Source organism: Homo sapiens, chromosome 5, assembly GCF_000001405.40.
Source record: "Homo sapiens chromosome 5, GRCh38.p14 Primary Assembly".
NCBI lineage: Eukaryota > Metazoa > Chordata > Mammalia > Primates > Hominidae > Homo > Homo sapiens.
The window spans coordinates 169882279-169901647 of record NC_000005.10 but is presented as its reverse complement, the minus strand read 5'-3'; the positions used below and the strand labels follow the sequence as shown (position 1 = coordinate 169901647).

General features: G+C 43.3%; 2 protein-coding genes across 9 annotated transcripts in view; one reads left to right on the top strand and one right to left on the bottom strand.

Moving 5' to 3' along the window:
* DOCK2 (dedicator of cytokinesis 2) overlaps positions 1-19369 on the bottom strand; it is a 446108-nt gene that overhangs the window by 181735 nt on the left and 245004 nt on the right. The gene's annotated exons all lie outside the window — the stretch shown is intronic.
* The window catches only part of INSYN2B (inhibitory synaptic factor family member 2B), a 119193-nt gene that overhangs the window by 78848 nt on the left and 20976 nt on the right, over positions 1-19369 (top strand). For all 4 annotated transcript variants that reach the window (NM_001346304.2, XM_047416585.1, NM_001129891.3 and 1 more), the window contains exon 2: positions 16832-19095. In NM_001346304.2, coding sequence (NP_001333233.1) covers positions 17750-19095 — 1346 coding nt within the window. In that variant the 5' untranslated portion in view covers positions 16832-17749. The remainder of the gene's footprint in view (positions 1-16831; positions 19096-19369) is intronic.

Here is a 19369-nt window from a genome sequence, read left to right as displayed (position 1 = left end):
GTTTTTGAGTTTATCCAGTTCTCATCATCTTACTGTTACCACCTTGCCATCATCATGTGTTACCTGGACGACTGTTACAGCCTCCCCACTGGTTCATCCTGCTTCCACTTTTGCCCCATCCAGTCCATTTTCTCAGAAAAACCAGAAAAATCATTTTAAAATGCAAACGTGTTAATATACCTCTCTCCTACACACACATGCACGCATGCATGCCCACACACACACACACCCTTCGTAAACCTCTTGAAGTCATTCTGTTTTCAAAAATCAACCAAAAGACTTAATGTGGCCTTCAGGACCAATATCATCACTCCTGCCTAACTCTTCAAGACCAACTGTGGCCTGCTCTCTGGATTCCATCCAAGCTGGCCTTTCCTTTAGCTGTTACAAAGGCCAAATACCTTTCTTGCATCAGAGCCAGTGTGCACAATGTTCGTTTGCCTGGACACCCTCTTTTCATGCCCATCCCATCACCTCAATCACACCCACCATCCCTCCTCAATGCAAACATCACTTCTTCATAAGGCACTTCCCTTACCCACAATGTCAATTAGGACTCATGATTCTCCCACCGGCCTCTATTTTTTGGTCACAACATCTAGCACGTTTTATAAATCCATGTTTACTTGGATGTTTGTTCACTTAATATCAGCCTTTCCTACCCGTAACTAAGTTCCAAAATAGACAGGACCTTGGCTGTTTGGTACACCAGTTGTATCTCAAGGTGAAGACAGTTCTAGATATATGGTGAACTCCTAATCGATGATTTGCTGGGTTTTATCACTTTACTTACAGTCAATTCCAGGCAGGCTATATCTGTATCTTGGTAATAGGAGGAAATATTTTTCAGTTTTTCCACCACCAAGAGCTTCTTTGCGGCTCTCCCTCTCCCCACTGACTTGGTGTATTGAAAGATAGTGGGCAACAACTCTACACATTAAGTCATAATTAGCTTATTTTATCATTTTGTTCATCCAAAGCATGTAATACTGCTAATCGAAGCTTCTAATTAGAAGTAGTGCATGAAGGAGTCAATACTCTTAATATTACAGCCCAAAGGAGAGAGACTCGACATTTAGGTTTGCTTTGTAAATGTACAGCTTGCCTAAGCTTTAAGATGTTGAAATCACTCCAGAAGATCTGTTTGGCCAATAAGGTCCTTCATGCCATGCCTCCTGCCAGCCAGTCTTCTCCTGACATTTGCCACTATCTCGCCCAGCCACGATAATTAAGTTTATGTGGAAGGAAAAACTTCCATTTCACGTCTAGACTCAAGGCACACCTTTGAACCTGCTTCTTCCTTCTTTCAATGACTTGAACTCCTAGTCATCATAGAAAGCCTGGCTCAGATGTCCCCTCCATCAGGGGACAACAGGTTAGGGTTGTCTAAAGGTCCCAACAGGTTAGGGCCTGGGATGGTGGATTTCTACAATACCTGACCTTGCTTAAAGCTTGCGTCTTACCGTGCTGCCTATTACCTGCCCATCTCCTCCTTTAGATCTGAGAGCTTGGAGGTGTTCCTGATGCCCAGCACAATGTTTGGCACATAGTGGGTGCTTAGTAGAAGGAAAGGAAGAAAGGCTAAATGGAGAGAGGGAAGGAGGAAAGAAGAGAAAAGACAGCTTGTGGTTTCGAGTGCTGGAGACCCTGAAGTGAATACAATGGACAGTTTGTGAGACTCTCATGATCTTAGTGGAAGGAAATGACATAACTGAAAATCAGTATCAAGTAATACATGATTAGGGCAGATGCCTGATAGCATTAATTAGGGCTGTAAGAGTCTGCTTAATTTTTTTCTGGAAAATCTGAGAGTAAAGAAAGTAAGAATAAAAACTTATGGAGTCAACAAAAGGCACAACACTGTGAACACATTGGGGAAATTCATGTGTTATGCAGTCTTTGTATGCCAACAAGGAATGGAAAGGAACATTGAAAGTCTCACTTTGGATGGCAATACCATCTCCCAACAAAACGTGGTATGTAGAGAGGTCTATTTCCAGGACACTAACATCGAACAAAAGCAATTCAAAGCCCAGGGCCTTCCTAGTCCTGCTCCAAACCTGAGTGCCCAAGCAGCTCTGCACAAACATTTATATTCTCCATTATTGATCTTTTGGCCCTTCTATCCTCAAGTCCATTTGAGGCAAGCAAGACTGAGAAACCAAGGCTCATTTTTGACCTGCAATCATTGATGCTGGTGCTGACTTGCCATCCTATTTATAGGTAGGTGGTAGGCAGGCTCTCCCTCCAGGGTCTCATTGAACCTGATTCTTGGCATGGAGAAAGAATATGAATTGGCTGCACTTTACAGAGAGTGAGAGAAGTCTCAAGGCAGGAAGTCAGGCACTCTGAGGATCTAAGACTCTTGCTCTTCCTAATGAGCCATACTGTCTGGGCGTGCTGAAGGCAAAAGGAGGCTGTGGTTCAATTCAGTTTAGTTCACTTCAGCAGCCACCTTGTCATCATTCTCCTCTTTGCTAACATTTTTTGAGCTCTTACTAGATGCCTGGCACCATGTCTAATATCTCTTCTAATCCACAAATCAGCCATTTGAGAAAGGTCCCTTTTACTTGCCATCTTGCACTTTATGTATTAGGAAGCCAAGTCTCAGAGAGCAAACACCATTCACCAGCCAGGTTTGAAACCAGACCTGTTCTACTTCACAGACTGAGTTCTTAACTTCTGGATGCTGCTGTTGAATCCACCATTCTACCACCTTTTGCTTCTTCACTTTAGTCTCTGTGGTTGCTCATTTCCATCTGGTTCTCTGACTTGCTGCTTTACACAACGGCAGCAAACTACCGTCCACGGGCCAAATCTTGCCTGCTACCTGTTTGGGTAAATTCAGTTTAATTGGAATATCACTATGCTTGTTCATTTACATATTGCCCATGTGTGCTTTCAGGCTACAACGGTAGAGTTGAGTACTTGAAAAAAGACCACATGGCCTACACAGCTGCAAATATTTACTGTCTAACCCTTGATTGAAAGAGTTTTTTGACCCCTGATATAGTAGATAAGATAGACACTATGTTAAGAGCTTAACTGTCATTCTTTCATTGAACTCATACTGCAATCCGGTGTGTGTTGTTGTTGTTGTTGTTGTTGTTGTTGTTGTTTTGTGTGTGTGTGTGCATGTAGAGGATACTCCTATCAATCCCATGTTACAGATAAGAAAACTGAGGCTCAAAGAGTTGAAACATCCTGACCAAGGTCACAGAGCTAGTAAATGAGACAGCTGGATTTTAAACCCAGGCAGCCTGGCTCTAGAACCTATGCTCCTAACCATACAGTACACCTGGCTGCTGTGGGCCCAACACTGTGCAGGCACCAATCACATGGTGCTGAGCAATATATGGCCCTTCCCAAGCGGAGCCCCCATGAGAAAGGAGACCATGGCAGCCAGTTGATGGGCAGAGGAGAGCTGGGGTAGAGCTGTGGGAGCCCCAGGGACACATACTTGTTCATGCAGCCTCAGTCAGCCCCAGAAGCTCAGAACGTACTGATGAAAGCTGGGACACACAAAGGAAGAACAACACACAAGAAGGTTGGTGGCAGGTGACAGAGTCACTTCTGACAGGGGACTCTCTCCCCAAATCCACTCACAATTGCTCAGCCGAATTATTTCCTAATACTCTTCATCTTAAAGAATCATTTTAAAAAGTGATTTGATTGCTCTAGCTAGCCTGCTCCTTTATTTCTAGGGGAGCAGCTTTGTAGGAAATGGTTTTTATTAGAGTTGTTCATCTGCGTTCAAGGGAGGAAAGCTCAGCTCTTCTTTTGAGAGTCCACTCCTCTATTACATAGACCTGGAGAAAATTAAAGTATCCTGGGATGAAGGAATCATCTCTTTGCTCTCTAAGAATGCAGTGAGAGCTTCCCCATGTGGCCCTGACGATGGCCTTCTAGACAAATGCTTGCATGGACAGGGAGCTCACCCCGTCACAAGGCAGAGTTGCATTACTTGAGTTTGAGGGAACTTCTGTCTTTAGCTGAAACTCAGTTTGCATCCCCAGGCTCTCAACCATGGGGCTGTGGTTCTGTCTCTGGAAATATTACAGGGCAACCCTACTTCCCACTTGATACAGTAGTGAAGTCTTTAAAGGGACCATCATGTCTTTCCGTTTGCTCTTCTCTTGGTTAAAGAGCTCACATTCCTGGCCGAGTACGGTGGCTCACACTTGTAATCCTAGCACTTTGGGAGGAAGAGGCAGGAGGATCATGTGGTTAGGAGATCGAGACCATCCCTTCCAACATGGTGAAATCCTGTCTCTACTTAAAAAAATACAAAAATGGTTAGCTGGGTGTGGTGGTGTGTGCCTGTAATCCCAGCTACTTGGGAGGCTGAGGCACGAGAATTGCTTGAACCCAGGAGGTGGAAGGTGCAGTGAGCCGAGATCATGCCAATGCACTCCAGCCTGGTGGCAGAGCAAGACTCTGTCTCAAAAAAAAAGAGCTCACATTTCTTCAACCATTTTTATTGTGATACTTTCCAAATCTCATAAGGATTCTCTTTCTCATAGAGAAAGCCTAAAATTTTAGATGTGTAAATAAATTCATAATAAATATTCTTATGATAATTTTCTCTTAGAGTTCAAGGCTACAAAAGAAGGTTGTTACTCATGATGAAATGTCTAGCACTAAGCACTAAGTAATGACAAAAATATGTCTTACTATATTCCCTTTCTGCCTTGGTTTACTAGGAAGCTCACGTCAAAGTTGATGCTCAGTTTTTCTCCTCTTTATTAACTTTATTTTTTACCTCTCATCTTCTGTCATCTACTAATTGCTTTTAGTTCTATGGCATCTGCATTTTATTATAAACATTTATCCTCTTCTACATTATCAATCGACTCCCACACCCACTGTGAGCAGCGGGTAGGGACTATATCATAAATATTCCTGCTTCACACAGATGAGAGTTTGAGTGGCGACTAGTGAGTGATAGAAATCTTTGCTGGTTCTCACACTTTGATAATAATAATGATGATACTGCCTATAGTAATAATGCTAGTAATCATAATAGGAGCCAAAGTTTATTAAGTGGTTCCAGCCTGACAGGCGCTTTTCTGAAAGATTTATGAGTGTGTCACCTCGTTTAAATCTTACAGCCAGCTTCTTAAGTAATATTATTAGCTACATCTTCTTAAGTAATATTATTAGCCACATATTACAGATGAGAAAATCATAGCCCAGAGAGGTTAAGTAATTTACCCTCCAACAAAGATGCAGAAAATGGCAGAGCCAGCATTGAAATCTAAGCCGTCTGTTTTCAGAATGCAAGCTCTTGTCCACCATGCCACACTACCTAAATTATCAGACCACCCCCAGCCACTCCACATGGGATTTAAGGGGTCCCGGTACTTCAGATAAACTCTGAACCCATAAGATTCTGGATCTCATCCAGAATGGGGAATGTTGATGTGAGCTTTAAGAAGTTGCTCACTGCTGACTGCCTCCCCGCCCCCCGACCCCAGGAGCAACGGTTTCTGGCTCTTTCACCATCTGCCTGCACGCTCTGGGAGCTCCTTCCAATCCCTGTGCCCCAGTGCAGCCAATCAGGCTCAGACATGGGACTGGGAAACAGAAAGGCTGTCCTGGTCGTTGGCCCAGAAAGGATCATGGAGGGTGGCCAAGGCCAGGCTTGAGATCATAGCATTCACATAAAGGTCCCTGTTCAGGCAAGACAAGGGTAGTGGTAATCGGGGACATCTCCAGGCCAGAAAATAGGGAAGAAGGAAGGAAGGTTGGAAGCCAAGAGGTCTGCTGGCTGATTCTTACTATATCTATTATGTGCCAGGCACTGCGTTATGTGAGCCAAATGCTCCTTTCATTTTCAAATGAGGAAACTGAGAACCCAGATATGAGATGACTTGTCCTAGGTCATTCAGCAAGTTTAGGTGTAAGTGCATGAATAACTCTTTGTAAGAGAAAGGCTTTGCCAAGTCATGATAAGTATTTCATTCCAGGAGATGGAATGTCACCCTGCTCTCGGGGGCTGTGGTTACAATAGGTAACGTGGAGGGAAGGTGGAACCCCCAGTGGCTGGAGTCAGGGTGAAAGCATGGGGCACCGAAGGAGCTTTAGGGAGTGTGATCCTACCCCCAAAAGAAGAGGATGCGTGAATGCTGGCTGCTGGCTGCTTTTCTCTAGGGGCAGGGGAGAAGACTCAGGTGAGTATAGGTGGTTAGGAGTGAGACCACCCCCTGTCCCCGGATCTCCAGGAAAGTTCTCCACCCAGCTCAGTGCCTTTCCTAGTCTCCTATCCTGGAGAGTGAGAAGTGGGGTTGAGGCTGGGTGGTTCTCTCTACCATATGCTCTTCCCTTTGCAAGAAACAAGAGAGGGAAGGAGGAGGGAGAGAAAGGAAGGGAGGAAAGGAGAAAGAAGGAAGGGGGACATTTAAACTTGAGCTTTTATACTTCTGGATTTGACCAGCATCCATGAGAAAAAGGATATCCTTTGTCATTAGGCAAACACCGTGAGCCCATCAGGTGAGAGGCAATTAAAGGTGTGCTACACAGCCTGTGATTTGCATGGGAGGTGGATGGGGCTTCACAGCTTGTACAGGCAGAGAGCCTAAGTCCCAGAATGCAACATCGATTCCAGCAATGGTCTGAGATTCCTGCACGAGAGGAGGAAATGAATGACAAAAAGCCACAGAGATGTTCTTGGCCCCTTAAGAAATGGCAGACCTCACGGGGGGCCACAACACCAAAACCAGCAGACGGGACATTTGGCAGCATTTTCTCCTTGAGTTTCGTTTTTATTACTTCTGCCTTTTAATGTTACTTGAGATTTGCCACAACCCCCGCATGGACTCTCAAAACCTGGGATTTTGTCCCGTCTCTGTGTAACCTGGGGCCCAGTGCATAATGGTAACCATGGTAAAGATAAGAACAGTGGAAGTCACCATTTACTGAGCACCTACTGTGTGTTGCACATGCTGCTGGGCACGCTGTTTACTCATCTCAGAAATGAAGAGTGGGCTCTTTAATGGCACTGCAGTCATGCGCTTTTGCAAACTGCTTGTGCCACCGAGTTCTCTGTTCATCTGTGATTAGATCAGACCATAAACTTCCCCCCTTCTCTTCCCCTTGTGAAAATTCTTCAGTGTAGGCAGGGATCCAGAAGTGGGAAAACCTTCATTGCAGCTGCCTGCCAATGCTTTGCTGTACCAGGGTGGATGGCGCACTGCAGAGTCCAGGGCCCAACAGTTGTCCTTGGTGGGTGTGCAATGTGTATCTATGTCAGGAGAAGGGGGTACTTCCAAGTCATGCTGTGGGCCAATCCTGCCAGCCCCCACCCAAGGCACCTCTAAGAGGCACCCAGCTTCTTCTGGCCTCCATTAGAAGCTCTCTGATCTAATGAAATTTCTGCTGTCCTTTTGGTCCTGCCAGACCACCTTCATCTTGGGCAAATCTCGCACCTCTCTACCAGTTCCCTCATCTGCAAAATGGGAGTGATAATGCCTAGTCTTGGCAAAACTTGTTGTGAGGTGGAAAAGGGCTAGTAAATCTAAAAATGCTTTGAAAACTTTGGCAGTGCTATTGACAAGCAAGGGGTCACTGGAGTCTGTCGTTTTTAGTACAACGACTAGTATTTTAATCAGCCAAATGTGTGTGACTGGTCTATACTGGAGCATAGGTCCCTTCAGAATGGAAAGACTTTTCCAATTTTATTCATAATTTCTTTAGACAATCTACAGGAAGAGATTGTCAAGTGTAAACAGAGTTTCCAAGTACCACAAAACCACAGAAAGTGATGCTGAGATGGAAAACGATTTTCCTGCCTTCTTCCATTCCAACTGGATCCCTCTCCCATGTGGAAAATGTTGACACGTCAACATTGAAAAATAACTTAGAAGTGGCCTGTGCCAACTCTGTACCCTATGAGTAAATCTGTTCACAGCAATGCAAATCATTGTCTGTCTGGCTTCCTGTTGTTTTTTTCTGGATGGAGCTTATGGAGAAGAGGGGTGAAACATGACCACCCACTTCTGCTCTCTCCCTTCCATCTGACACACAGAGCTATTCCTCTGACAACAAATCAAAAAGATTCTAGATTCTTCTATCTGTTTGAGCAGGCAGCTCCCCCAGTGTTTGACCCCAGGAAAAATAAATCAAATTATTTAAAGTCAAAAAGTGGTATGACCTAAAAAAAAAAAAAAGGGTAAGAAAATGTCCCCAGTTATGTAGTGAAAAACAAATGGATTGAAAAATATCAGAAAAATCTCTGGAGAGAAATCAAAATGCTGAGAAATACAGAGATAATATTAAGCCAATGCCCTTTCTTCTATGAGAAGCTGGATGAATTGGCCAGCAGTTGCATCTGGTGGTAGTAAAGGCTTTCCCCTGGAGAAAGCAAGCTGGAGGTGACCTTTCAGATTCAGCAGCAGCAGCAGCAGCAGCCAATGCCTCTGGCTAGAGGGGTGAATGTACCACAGAATTGTCCCTACAGGGCAGGTGCCCTGAGGCTTGCAAAAGAGGAAATTCAAGAGATGCTGATTCCCCACCCTTGACATAGAATAGCCAAAGGAATGAATCACTGACCCTAAAACATTTATGAAGATGCAAGAGAGAAGGAGAAGGCAAGAGAAGGGGCTAGAGAGGAACAAAAGAAATGAAGGAAGAGGAAGGGCAGGGTGTGGAAAAGAGGAGGGCAAGAAAGGTGGTGAGACAAAGAGCAGGGAGGAGAGGGGAGAAATGAAATGGGGAGCCATGCTGGAGAAAACAGAAGAGAAGAAGGGGAAAAGAAGGAGTGAAGACAGAGGGAAACACAATAAAAGAGAAAGGAGAGAGGAAATCCAGAGGATAATCCAGCTAGATTTGTAACCTTTCATGTCTTAGGCTGGTCATGTTTGTTATGTTCACTCTACTGTCCTCTGTGCTGTCTTGCACACCTGAAACATTTTATTATGTTTTTGAAAAAAGAAAGATAAGGTAGAAGAAAGGATAAAAATGAAGAGGAGGTAGAGGTAGATGGTAGTCATATCTCCCTGGGTGTCTGTGACAAATGCAATTAGAGGGTTGGAGTGGTAGAAAAAAATAGCATTAGTGGCTTGCCCATCCATCGGAGAGGCCTCTGGGATCAGAAAGCCTGTCTTCTCCACTAGGTCTGTTTCCAAATGAGGCACCTGAGCTGGAACCAGGTGGGCCATGGCCCTCAACCTTTCTCACTGGTGTACTGGAGAAGAGGAGAACCTGGATTGACATTAGTTCCACTTCTGCCTTCAACTCAATGTGTCACTTGTGCAGTTCCACAAATGTTCACCTAGCTCCTGCTCCATGCTAGAAGCTGTGCGGGTGTAGGGGATACACACCAGCAAGTTTGTTCTTCTTGAAGCATTTGCAGGTAGAAGACAGCTGCTCAGAGTCTCAGTTTCCCCATCTCTATAATGAGGGGGGTTGTCTTCATGGTTTTTAGGTTTGCTTTGAGTCCCAGGACTGAGTCCCCTACATTTTCTAGAACAACTCCACTTTATTGTGTTTTAGATATTGGAATTGTGCTTAAGCTTGGATTTGGAAGGCTGATTTTACCGCTAAAGGAATTTTGAAAATCATTAAATAAGATTCTCCCCAAGGTCTAAAGTTTGTTGTAGTGGTTGTTGTTGTTTTTCTTTTCTTTTTTCTTTTTCTTTTTTTTTTTTTTTTTGGGACGGAATCTCGCACTGTTGCCCAGGCTGGAGTGCAATGGCACAATCTCGGCTCACTGCAACCTCCGCCTCCCAGGTTCAAGCGATTCTCTTTGCCTCAGCCTGCCAAGTAGCTGGGATTACAGGTGCCTGCCACCACACTCAGAGAATTTTTTTGTATTTTTAGTAGAGATGTGGTTTCACTATGTTGCCCAAGCTGGTCCAAGCTGGTCTTGAACTCCTGACCTTGTGATCCACCTGCCTTGACCTCCCAAAGTGCTGGGATTATGGGTGTGAACCACCGTGCCCGGCTGACTTTGTTCTTTTTGAAGCACTTGCAGGTAGAAGACAGCTGCTCAGAGTCTTAGTTTCCCCATCTCTATAATGAGGGGGGTTGTCTTCGTGGTTTTTAGGTTTGCTTTGAGTCCCAGGACTGAGTCCCCTACATTTTCTAGAACAACTCCACTTTATTCTGTTTTAGATATTGGAATTGTGCTTAAGCTTGGATTTGGAAAGCTGATTTTACTGCTAAGGGAATTTTGAAAATCGTTAAATAAGATTCTACCCAAGATCTAAAGTTTTAAACTTCTCTGTTCTATTTCTAAGGTTGTATGATTCCTTGAAGCCTCTAACTATAAGAATTTACTCTATTCATTCATTCAACAAATACTAAAGTTCTTCAATAAATGGGAGCAGAGACAGATAATACACAAATAAGCTAATAGGACAGGGTTTTGCTGCACAGAGGGACACGGAAGGGGAGAGGGGGTCAGGGAGTGTCTCCTGGAGATAACAGGCTTGGAAGGATCTGGGGAAAGAGGAGTCCTAACAAAAGGAATAGCAGATTTGAAAGCCAGATGATGAGAATGAATCTAGCATGTTCAGGGCCAGGGACCATGTCACAGAAAAGGGGGAAAGTGGCATGAGATGAGATGGGACAAGGAAGGTAGACAGGGGCCAGATGACATAGGGTTGTGGCTTGTGTTCAAGGTTGTGGCCCTGAAAGTTATGGAACTAGTTTGGATTTTAATTTAAATGTAGTGGGACACCTTTGCAGGGTTTCAAAGAGGGGCCTGATGTGATCTGATTAAATATTATCAAGATTACTGTGGCTGCTGTGTGGAGGACAGATGGTAAAGAGGACAAGAGAGGGGGACACTCACAGTGATACAGGTGAGAGATGATGGAGACCTGGGTGTGAATACCAGAATTTGTGCAAAAAAGTCAAACATGGTATATAGAAAGATGAGAACAAGATTTCACAATCAGCACATATCCAACATCTTTCAGGGTCCCAAATATATAAGTCTGGATCTTAACCTCACCTTTTGGTGCCCAATTTTTTCCTCAAGTCAACCCATGTGCTATAAAGAAAGTCAATTCCCTTTGTTTCTTTGACCACTTACAACAGAATGTAGATTTAGGCAGACCCCCAAAATATACCCTTTTCCTTACTGAGAAAGCTGCCGGAAAGGGGTATATTTTTGGAATATATAATTTGGAAAATTAGCTTTCCAAATTTCAAATTGGAAAGATAAGTGGATACTTGGACCACAAGCATTAACCCTTTGATTTCAGATGAGTATGGAATAACCCTTACCAACAGATTTGACCAAGCAATTAACTGAAGACAAATGGAAGGAAAACAAACTTTGAACCACAAGGCCCAGAGGTGAATGATCAACAGTAAATGGCTCCTTAAAGACTCAGCACTGTGCTTAGGACTTTGGAGGATAGAAAAAGAGTGGAAGACATATCCCTACACTTTAGAAATGCATCCTGTAACTGAGGAAACAGGACTAACACATAAAGTAATTAGATGTCTGGCCAGCTAAATGGAGGAAGAGTCGGGGTCTCCACCAGAGCCCCGAGGCTGGCAGCAGGAAGACAGGGTTCCAGTCTACCTCTGTGACTTAGGACAAGTCATCGAGTCCTTCTGGATTGAATTCGTCTTCTTTAAAACAGGGATAATGCTTCCCAGCCTCCCTAGTGGGGATTACATGGGATTTGAAAATGCTTTATAAGTTGTAAAGTGTGGTGTAAACAGTAAAGGTTATTATTACTAAGTTCAGAGAAGGGACACGGCAATGTGTCAGCAAACAAAGCCTCCTCTGAAAAACAACCTAATCAAGAGCCTCCTGCTCAAAAACCACCAATGACTTCCCAGTGCCTAAAGCGGAGGTTGTCAAACTATGGCTCCCAGGCCAAATCCATTCAGTTGCATATTTTATAAATAAAGTTTTATTGGAACACAACCAGAGCCATTTGTTTACATATTGTCTATGACTTATTTCTTGCCACAATGGCAGATCTGAATGGTTGCAACAGAAACTGTGTGGCCAGCAAAGATGGAAATATTTACTATCTGGCCCTTTAAAGAAAAAACTTGCTGACTCCTGGCGTAAAGGATAGTCTGAACCCCAGTTAACACGTAAAGCACCCTGTTATGTAAGGCAGAATTTGGATGCATGAAATGAATCAGATACCTTCCTCTAAGTCTTCCCCTACCCTGTACAACGTTTTGTAGCAATTCTTAGGAACAGATTCCATATGAGGTTGGCATTACAAGGTCCTTTCTTAGTGCTACAATAGGGATCAGGTCTTTTTCCTCCTTGGAATCTCCACAGTATTTATTACAGTGCCCACCTCACAACAGAATCTAAATAAAGTTTAACCAAATTAAAGCTGCCGTAAATAGAGAAAGCATAGTAGACTAGAAAACAGACATGAGACCTACTGATAATAAATCTTTGAAAGGAAAAAAAATGTTGGAAGTGAATTAATTCCTTCACTCTTAATTAGTTATGCAAATATTTATTCCATGCAACTATCCAACTATTCCATGTCTTAGAAGCTAAGGCAAATTAGATAATACAGGATTATATTCATTTGTTTTACAAGAGTTTATATAAGACCCTCTCTGTGTCAAGCGGAGGGGTAAGGACTCAGAGTAGACCATTACCACATGTCTCTCAAGGAGCTTAGAGTCTAGTTGAAGAGGCTAGAAGTCAGCAGATCATCACAATATAGAGAGACAAGCACAATGCTAAAGACACAAAGTACAGAGACGGCAGGGAGATAGGACTTCTTGCACAAAGGAATGCCATCTTTGTACATTCCTTCCCATGAATGCACCTACAGTTTACTATCCCAAGGGAAAGAGGAGGGACAAAGACAAATTCACAAGTGTCTCATGGCTACCAGCTGGGTTCTATCTGAAGAGTGAACACTGACTATCCTGACCATTTCATATAGATTATTTCATTTAATTCTCACAACCAGTTTAGGCGGTTTTACAAAGATCAAGTCACTTGTTCCAAGTCAATAGTCAGAAAGTGGAAGAGTCTCATCTACGTAGATCTTAAGCAAAAGCCTATGCACTTAACCCCTCACTGTATGGCCTAAAGATACTGAGAAAAGAGGACTGGGCAGGAATTCCAGAGAAAGCCTACAGTTTGCAACCTACAGAGATATTGTCCAATGTTTCTGTATCTACTGAATGGACACTGATTCCATGAGGACCATTTGCTGTGGGCCAAAGGCATAGATGGAACATAAACAGTTGGTTCATGTTCACTAAAGTCAATAATCAAGGGAGGACAGAATAAAGTGTTGCAAAGATCAGTAATAATTCCAGCCGTAGGGCAGCTGTGACCACCTGTGGGGAACGATTCTGGATCCTGGGCCAGGATATTAATTTAGCCCTAACCACCAATGCCTAGGGAAATGTGAATTAATGGACAATTGGGAGCCCATAAGACTTAAGGGCCTCCAGAGGGTGCTTTTAGCCAGGTGTATTCCCCACGATGTGTCTGTGCAAGGGTCATGGTGGACATCAAGGGCAGGAGAGTTCCGACACAAAATATTTTTGTCAAGAGAAAATTTTGTATTTCCTAAACTTCCTAGGCTCTGTCTAAAAATACGAGAGTTTCCACATTCGTTTGACTATTCAAATTTTCATTTTCAACTTTTCAGCCTTTATTTGTATCAAACGTTGTGTAAAACCAATAAACATGTGAAAAAATGTCCACTCATATAAATTCCATATCGAGAATAATGAGATACAATTTCTTTTCTACTTTATTGGCAATGATTAAAAACAATCATCATAAATTGACCAGGCACAGTAACAAAGAGGTTCTGGTGAAAGACCTTCTCATGCAGTAATGGCAGAGTTGCACGTTAGTAGAACTTCATAGAAGGATGAGTGGTAACATGGTAGTATCAACGAAATCTAAAATGCACAGCTACTTTGACTCACTAATTCTTCTTCTAGGCATTTATTTCAAGAAGATAATTAGACAAGAGCTCCAAGATTTACATAAAAATGTTTATTTATAGACTTTTAAATAATACCAAATATTTAGAAACAACCTAAATATCCACAAAAATACTATTTAAATAGATAATTGTATAACTAGACAAATTCATGTTAGCCTACTTAAAAGGACAGTGTGATCTGTACACCATAATGTGTAACTTTCTCCAGGTTGTTCAGTGAACAAAAGGCTTTCTGTCCATAAGCTTGTCTGTGTATGCAATTTCTGTGCAAGCATTGCACAGGGAGAAGGCTAGAATGAATGTCACCAAATTGTTGGTGCACTGTGGCTCTTTCTGGGTGGTAAGATTTCAGGTGATTTTTTTCTTCCTTTTGTTGTTTATTTGTATTATTTGAATTTTTACAATGAACAAATAATATCTTTATAAGCAGAAAACCAACTGCTTTTAAAGATCAAAAGAAAACATCTAAAGGATACATAAACTTCCTGGAGAAAAGGCAGGGCTAACACCAGAATAATGACTGACTTTCAGAATGAAAATGTGGAGGGAGTTTGAAACCTGCTTGCTAGCCTTGCACAAAAATATTAATCTTTCCAGTCCTGAAGAAGGCAGGAAGGCCCAATGGTGAGAAGCCTGTGCTTCAGGGTCAGTCTGTGGGTCCAAATGACAGCTCCATCACTTATCAGTGTGAATAACTTGGTATAAATATATTCATCTTCTGTGCCTCAGTTCCCTCATTTATAAAGTGGGGAACTGATCGCACCTGCCTCTACGAGTGTCATAGGATTAAGGAAGAGAGTAAATGAAACATACCAATCACAATGCCTGGCACATAATCAATGCACTAGACATTAGCTCTTATGAAAACCAGCCTCAGACAATCATAGCCTGTGTGAGTTATCGTTCCCAGAATGAAGTGCTAATGAGCAGTTAAGAAGAAAGCAAAAAACAATTAGTCAAGGAAACCCTCAAAAGTAGACATATAAATACCTAGGCTCTGCAGTACAAAGATGAAGAGTATGAACTGCATGTTTTTAAGCATGCGACCATCTCACAAATTTCAACTGCTTACTCTGCAAAACGGGGATAATATACAGGAGGTTATTTTGAGGATTAAATGCCAGGTGCTAACATAGCATTTAACAGTGAGTTGTTAATACATATTTGTTACTATTAATGAAAATAACTATTATGGACTAGGGAATTGGGTACTGAGCTCCCCATTATCATAGGTATCCAGGCAGGCTTAATTATTATCTGAGGAGGAAGATGCAGAAAGGATTTAGTCATGGACTGAGGAAATTGTCTCTGGGATTCTCCCAGACCTAAAAGTCCTACACAAAGTCATTGAAACATAGAACCAATTCTAAAAGTTGCATTGTTTGGAATTTTTATGTAAAGCAACTCGGGACCAGTAGGTTCATCTCCTCAGAGAGGTATGTGACAATGCCACTCTCAGAAGCCAACCCTGCTCTTCAAACAGGCAAGGCAAATGAGGAACCACCTGCTCATGAAACTCTGCTCATTCTGTCCCAGGATGGCTCATTTTGTTCTCACGCCACTAATAAAGACATACCAGAGACTGTGTAATTTATAAAGAAAAAGAGGGGTTTTTTTCTTTATAAAGAGAGATGCAGATCACTCCAGATCTGCAAGGGTCTTTTACCCTTGTTCTTAGCAACTGTCAACATATCATGCAGATCCCAAAAGGGCAGAGTCATAACTTCATAGTTAAGAATGCAGACTTTGGAATGACAGACACCTGGGTTCAAATTCTAGCTCCTCTACTGAGTACTTACCCTCTCTAAGCTTCAATTTCCCCGTAAGTCTAAGGGGGATAATGGCACCTCATGGATTTTTTGTAAGGATTAAATGAGATAATGCAATATTGGAAAAGCAGTAGGATATGTTTAGGCAAGTTACTTAACCCTTCTGGGCCTCGGTTTATTCAACTGTAAATGGGGACAAAAATATTATCTACCTTATAGAGTAGTTTGTGATTAATGAATGAGTTATGGCTTGGAAAGCGCTTAGAACAGCATCTGTCACATTAGTTAGTACTCAGTAAATATGAGTTGTTTTAATTAATGCATGTAAAGTCCTCAGCATGGTAAAAGTATGTGCTCAATAAATGGTGGCTATTATTATTATGAGGTAGTTGTTCCTCAGAGAAGTTCATGCACATTTATCTCCTGAAAAGCAATAAGAAATGAAGACATCAGGGGAGAATTTTGTCCTTAAATAAATGTTGCAGTCATAGCAGAACGAGTTCACAGGTCCTGTTGCCCTAGCAGGATACCCTAGGACCTTCACTCCTCTTCATGCCCAGGCTCTCTTTAATTCACAAGGACCTGCCCTTCATCCAACCATCCACTTTTTCAACAAATTCTGCTTAAGCACCTATAGTGAGCCAGAAAGAGGGCTAGGAATGCTCAAGCAGTGAATGAGATGGTTCCAGCCTCTGCCCTCCGGAGTCTACAGGGTAGTGGAGGAGATGCACATTAAATAAATACATACACAAATGCTTATTTAATAACAGTTGCAATTTGTATTGTGAAAAATGTGACGAGGATGTACAATGGGTCCTGATGTGGTCTTGGCACTGGGTGTGTGAGTAAGAGGGAGACATTGTAAAGGCTGCCTGAGAAATTGCTGGGACTTGACTGATGAACAGGAGTTGGCTGAGTGCTGTGCAGAAATGGAGAGAGAAAAGGGTCCAGGCAGACAGGCATTTTGTTCCAAGGCCTTGCACCCACAAAGCACCTGGTTCACAAAGAGAACCGAGAGAAAGGCCACGTGGTTGACTTATTCCTAGACCCTCCACTCAAAATACTCAGCTAGGAAGTTAGAATTTGAAGAGAAATCCAGGTCCACAGAAACTGCCTTCTCATTGGCCACTGTTGTCTCTTCCCTTTCAGGTGCTCCTCGCCTGCTTGCAGATATCAGACCCCAGCTCATCTCAGACCTCAGCCCCTGAGGCCAAGCAAACATACATCATCATGGAGGCTGCAGACGTAGCTCACCGTGCCCACATGTGAACTTCGGCCAACACACCACAACAGGGACTCTGCCCACTGAATCCCCTGTGATTCCTCAATCCTGTCCTGGTCATACCCCACTGGGTTTTGTGAGGCTATTTAGGAAGATAAGTTTCCCTCACTGAAGAAAAGAGAGACAGCATGAAAGAAAACAATGGCCCCAAAGGAGGAATTTGTGATTGACATAAATGGGAATGTTCCCTTGGGAGCATCATGTATCATCAAACAAGCAAACCTCCAGGTCATTTATTTCTCCACCTGTTTACCTGCTATGGAAAGAAGATGCATTTAAGTTTCCTGCAGTTTCACCCTGGAAATTAATGCTCTGGGAAACAAAAAGCTGTATGTTCTAGACGTAGCAGGTTTCTTTTGGAATTCACTCATTGGGAGTCTGGCACTACCCCCTAAATGGTACTTTTGTTGTCTTTTTGTTCAAGACAGCCAGCTTCTTCCAAGATCAGAACCGCGTGCCAGCCTCCCTTGATAAACCGCCTACCAGCTCTCTTGGTAGATCAGATGTTTAATAGTTAGCCTAACTCATTTGTTTTTCCAAGGAGCAATTATGACTACAATGAATTAATATTTTAACTGCAGGGAAAGCATTACAGATAGTTCCTACGTAGACTCTAGAGGCTGGGAATGGCCAACAGGATTTCCCATACTAAGAGGAGAGGACCACTCCATCCTGGCCAGCAGTTCTCTATGATTGAAATACTATCATTAGATACTGCTCCAAAGACCTAAGGGGAGATGTGCCTAGGAGAAGTGTATGGTCCTGATCCTTCCCACTGAGGCTCAATGGCCCAGCAAAATATGAAAGTGAGACCTGTGCTTCTAAAGCGTAACAGTCTAGAATCAGTGGAGTTTGTGAAACAACCTCACCACCGCAGGAGCAAATCCCAGCAGGTGAGATTCAAGGAAGATGGGACCACTAAGAATCCAACTGGCCTAGCTGAGGTTGACGTCCAAACTCCAGAAGACCCGGCTGTGATGGGGAAGACTCAAGCAACCAGGCACCATCTTCCCCCCACCTACTCGCTCTCCTTCCCCAGGTCCCAGAAGGCAGGGGGCTTTCGCAACATTGCAATCCAAACTTCCCCCAGTCTCAGGAAGCATTTCCCAGTTTTCAAAAGGAAGAGACTCACAGCCAGTAAGTCCCTGGTGGAAATGCCAACAGCCTCCCAAAGTGCCATCCAGGTCAACGGTAACCTCTCTGAACAGGACATTGTGTCTTCTGACCTTGCCTACTTAAGGTTGGCTCAGCATCTTGAGGATGGGCCTCGAAGGGTCAAGGTGTCCCATGCATTCCTCCCAAGGGTCCCCAAGGTGCAAAGCAATGGTCCTGTTAGCATATGCTTGGAAGCAGGAACTTGGAGGTCCTTAGAGAAAGCCACAGCTGCCATTCAGGTTCCAGATGATATTTATCACAGTCCTTCCTGGGAAGCTAGAGAGTCTGCTCTCAGCCCAGACAGGTCAGCTGAAGTAAGTAACTCCATACACCCTTTGGATGACACACGTCCAGGTGATGGGAGAAGGGTGACTCCACTAGATTCAGAAAAATCCACCTCCTGCTTAAATGCCACCAGCGTTGCCAGCCACACACCAGGCACAGAGGAACTTAAACCTGAATTGCTTTTGCCCAAAGACAACTCAGATGACAAAGACCTTGGCTCACTGTCATCTCAGTCAAAGGAAACGTGTGTTCCTTCATCTCCACGGACTCACAGTTCCCCCTCACAAGGCTCCCACAGCCAGCCAGCCCACCCAGGAAGAGCCTCAGACTGTCCTTCATCAAGTAACAATCACCAGAATCTGGTGTCACTCAAAACTAACAGTGCATCGAAATCTGCCCCTGGGTGTCAGGAGCAGACGGCAAACAACCCCACCGAGTCAGACACACTGGAGTTTCCAAATTGTCCAGGAAGTAATCATCTCCCATCCTCTCTTTCAAGGAGTGAGACCAAACTTCAGAGCAACAGGGAGATTAGTGACATTAATCAAATTCACCTGGCACGGGGTGAACTCTGCGACCTCCAAGGCCGACTGCAATCTGTGGAGGAATCTCTGCACTCGAACCAAGAGAAAATTAAAGTCCTTTTGAATGTAATTCAAGACTTGGAGAAAGCTCGAGCTCTCACTGAAGGGTAAGGAGATTTTTTTTTCATATTAAAAATGACTGGGTGAAGTCATTTGCCAACACAGGGGCAGAGACAGCTTTGGTTTCTTTTAGTAAAAATGTCTCCAAAATGTTTGAAGCACTGTTGTTTCTCCAAATCATAACCACAGACCTCCCTTTTCTCTAATGGAATTTCATTTAGTTCTAGGCTTTGGTGGATTTCTGTGGATTTCTACTGCTGTTTGTTTTCGTTTTCAGGTGTTAACAGAATGGGGAAAGGCAGCAATGGAGCAGTAAGATCA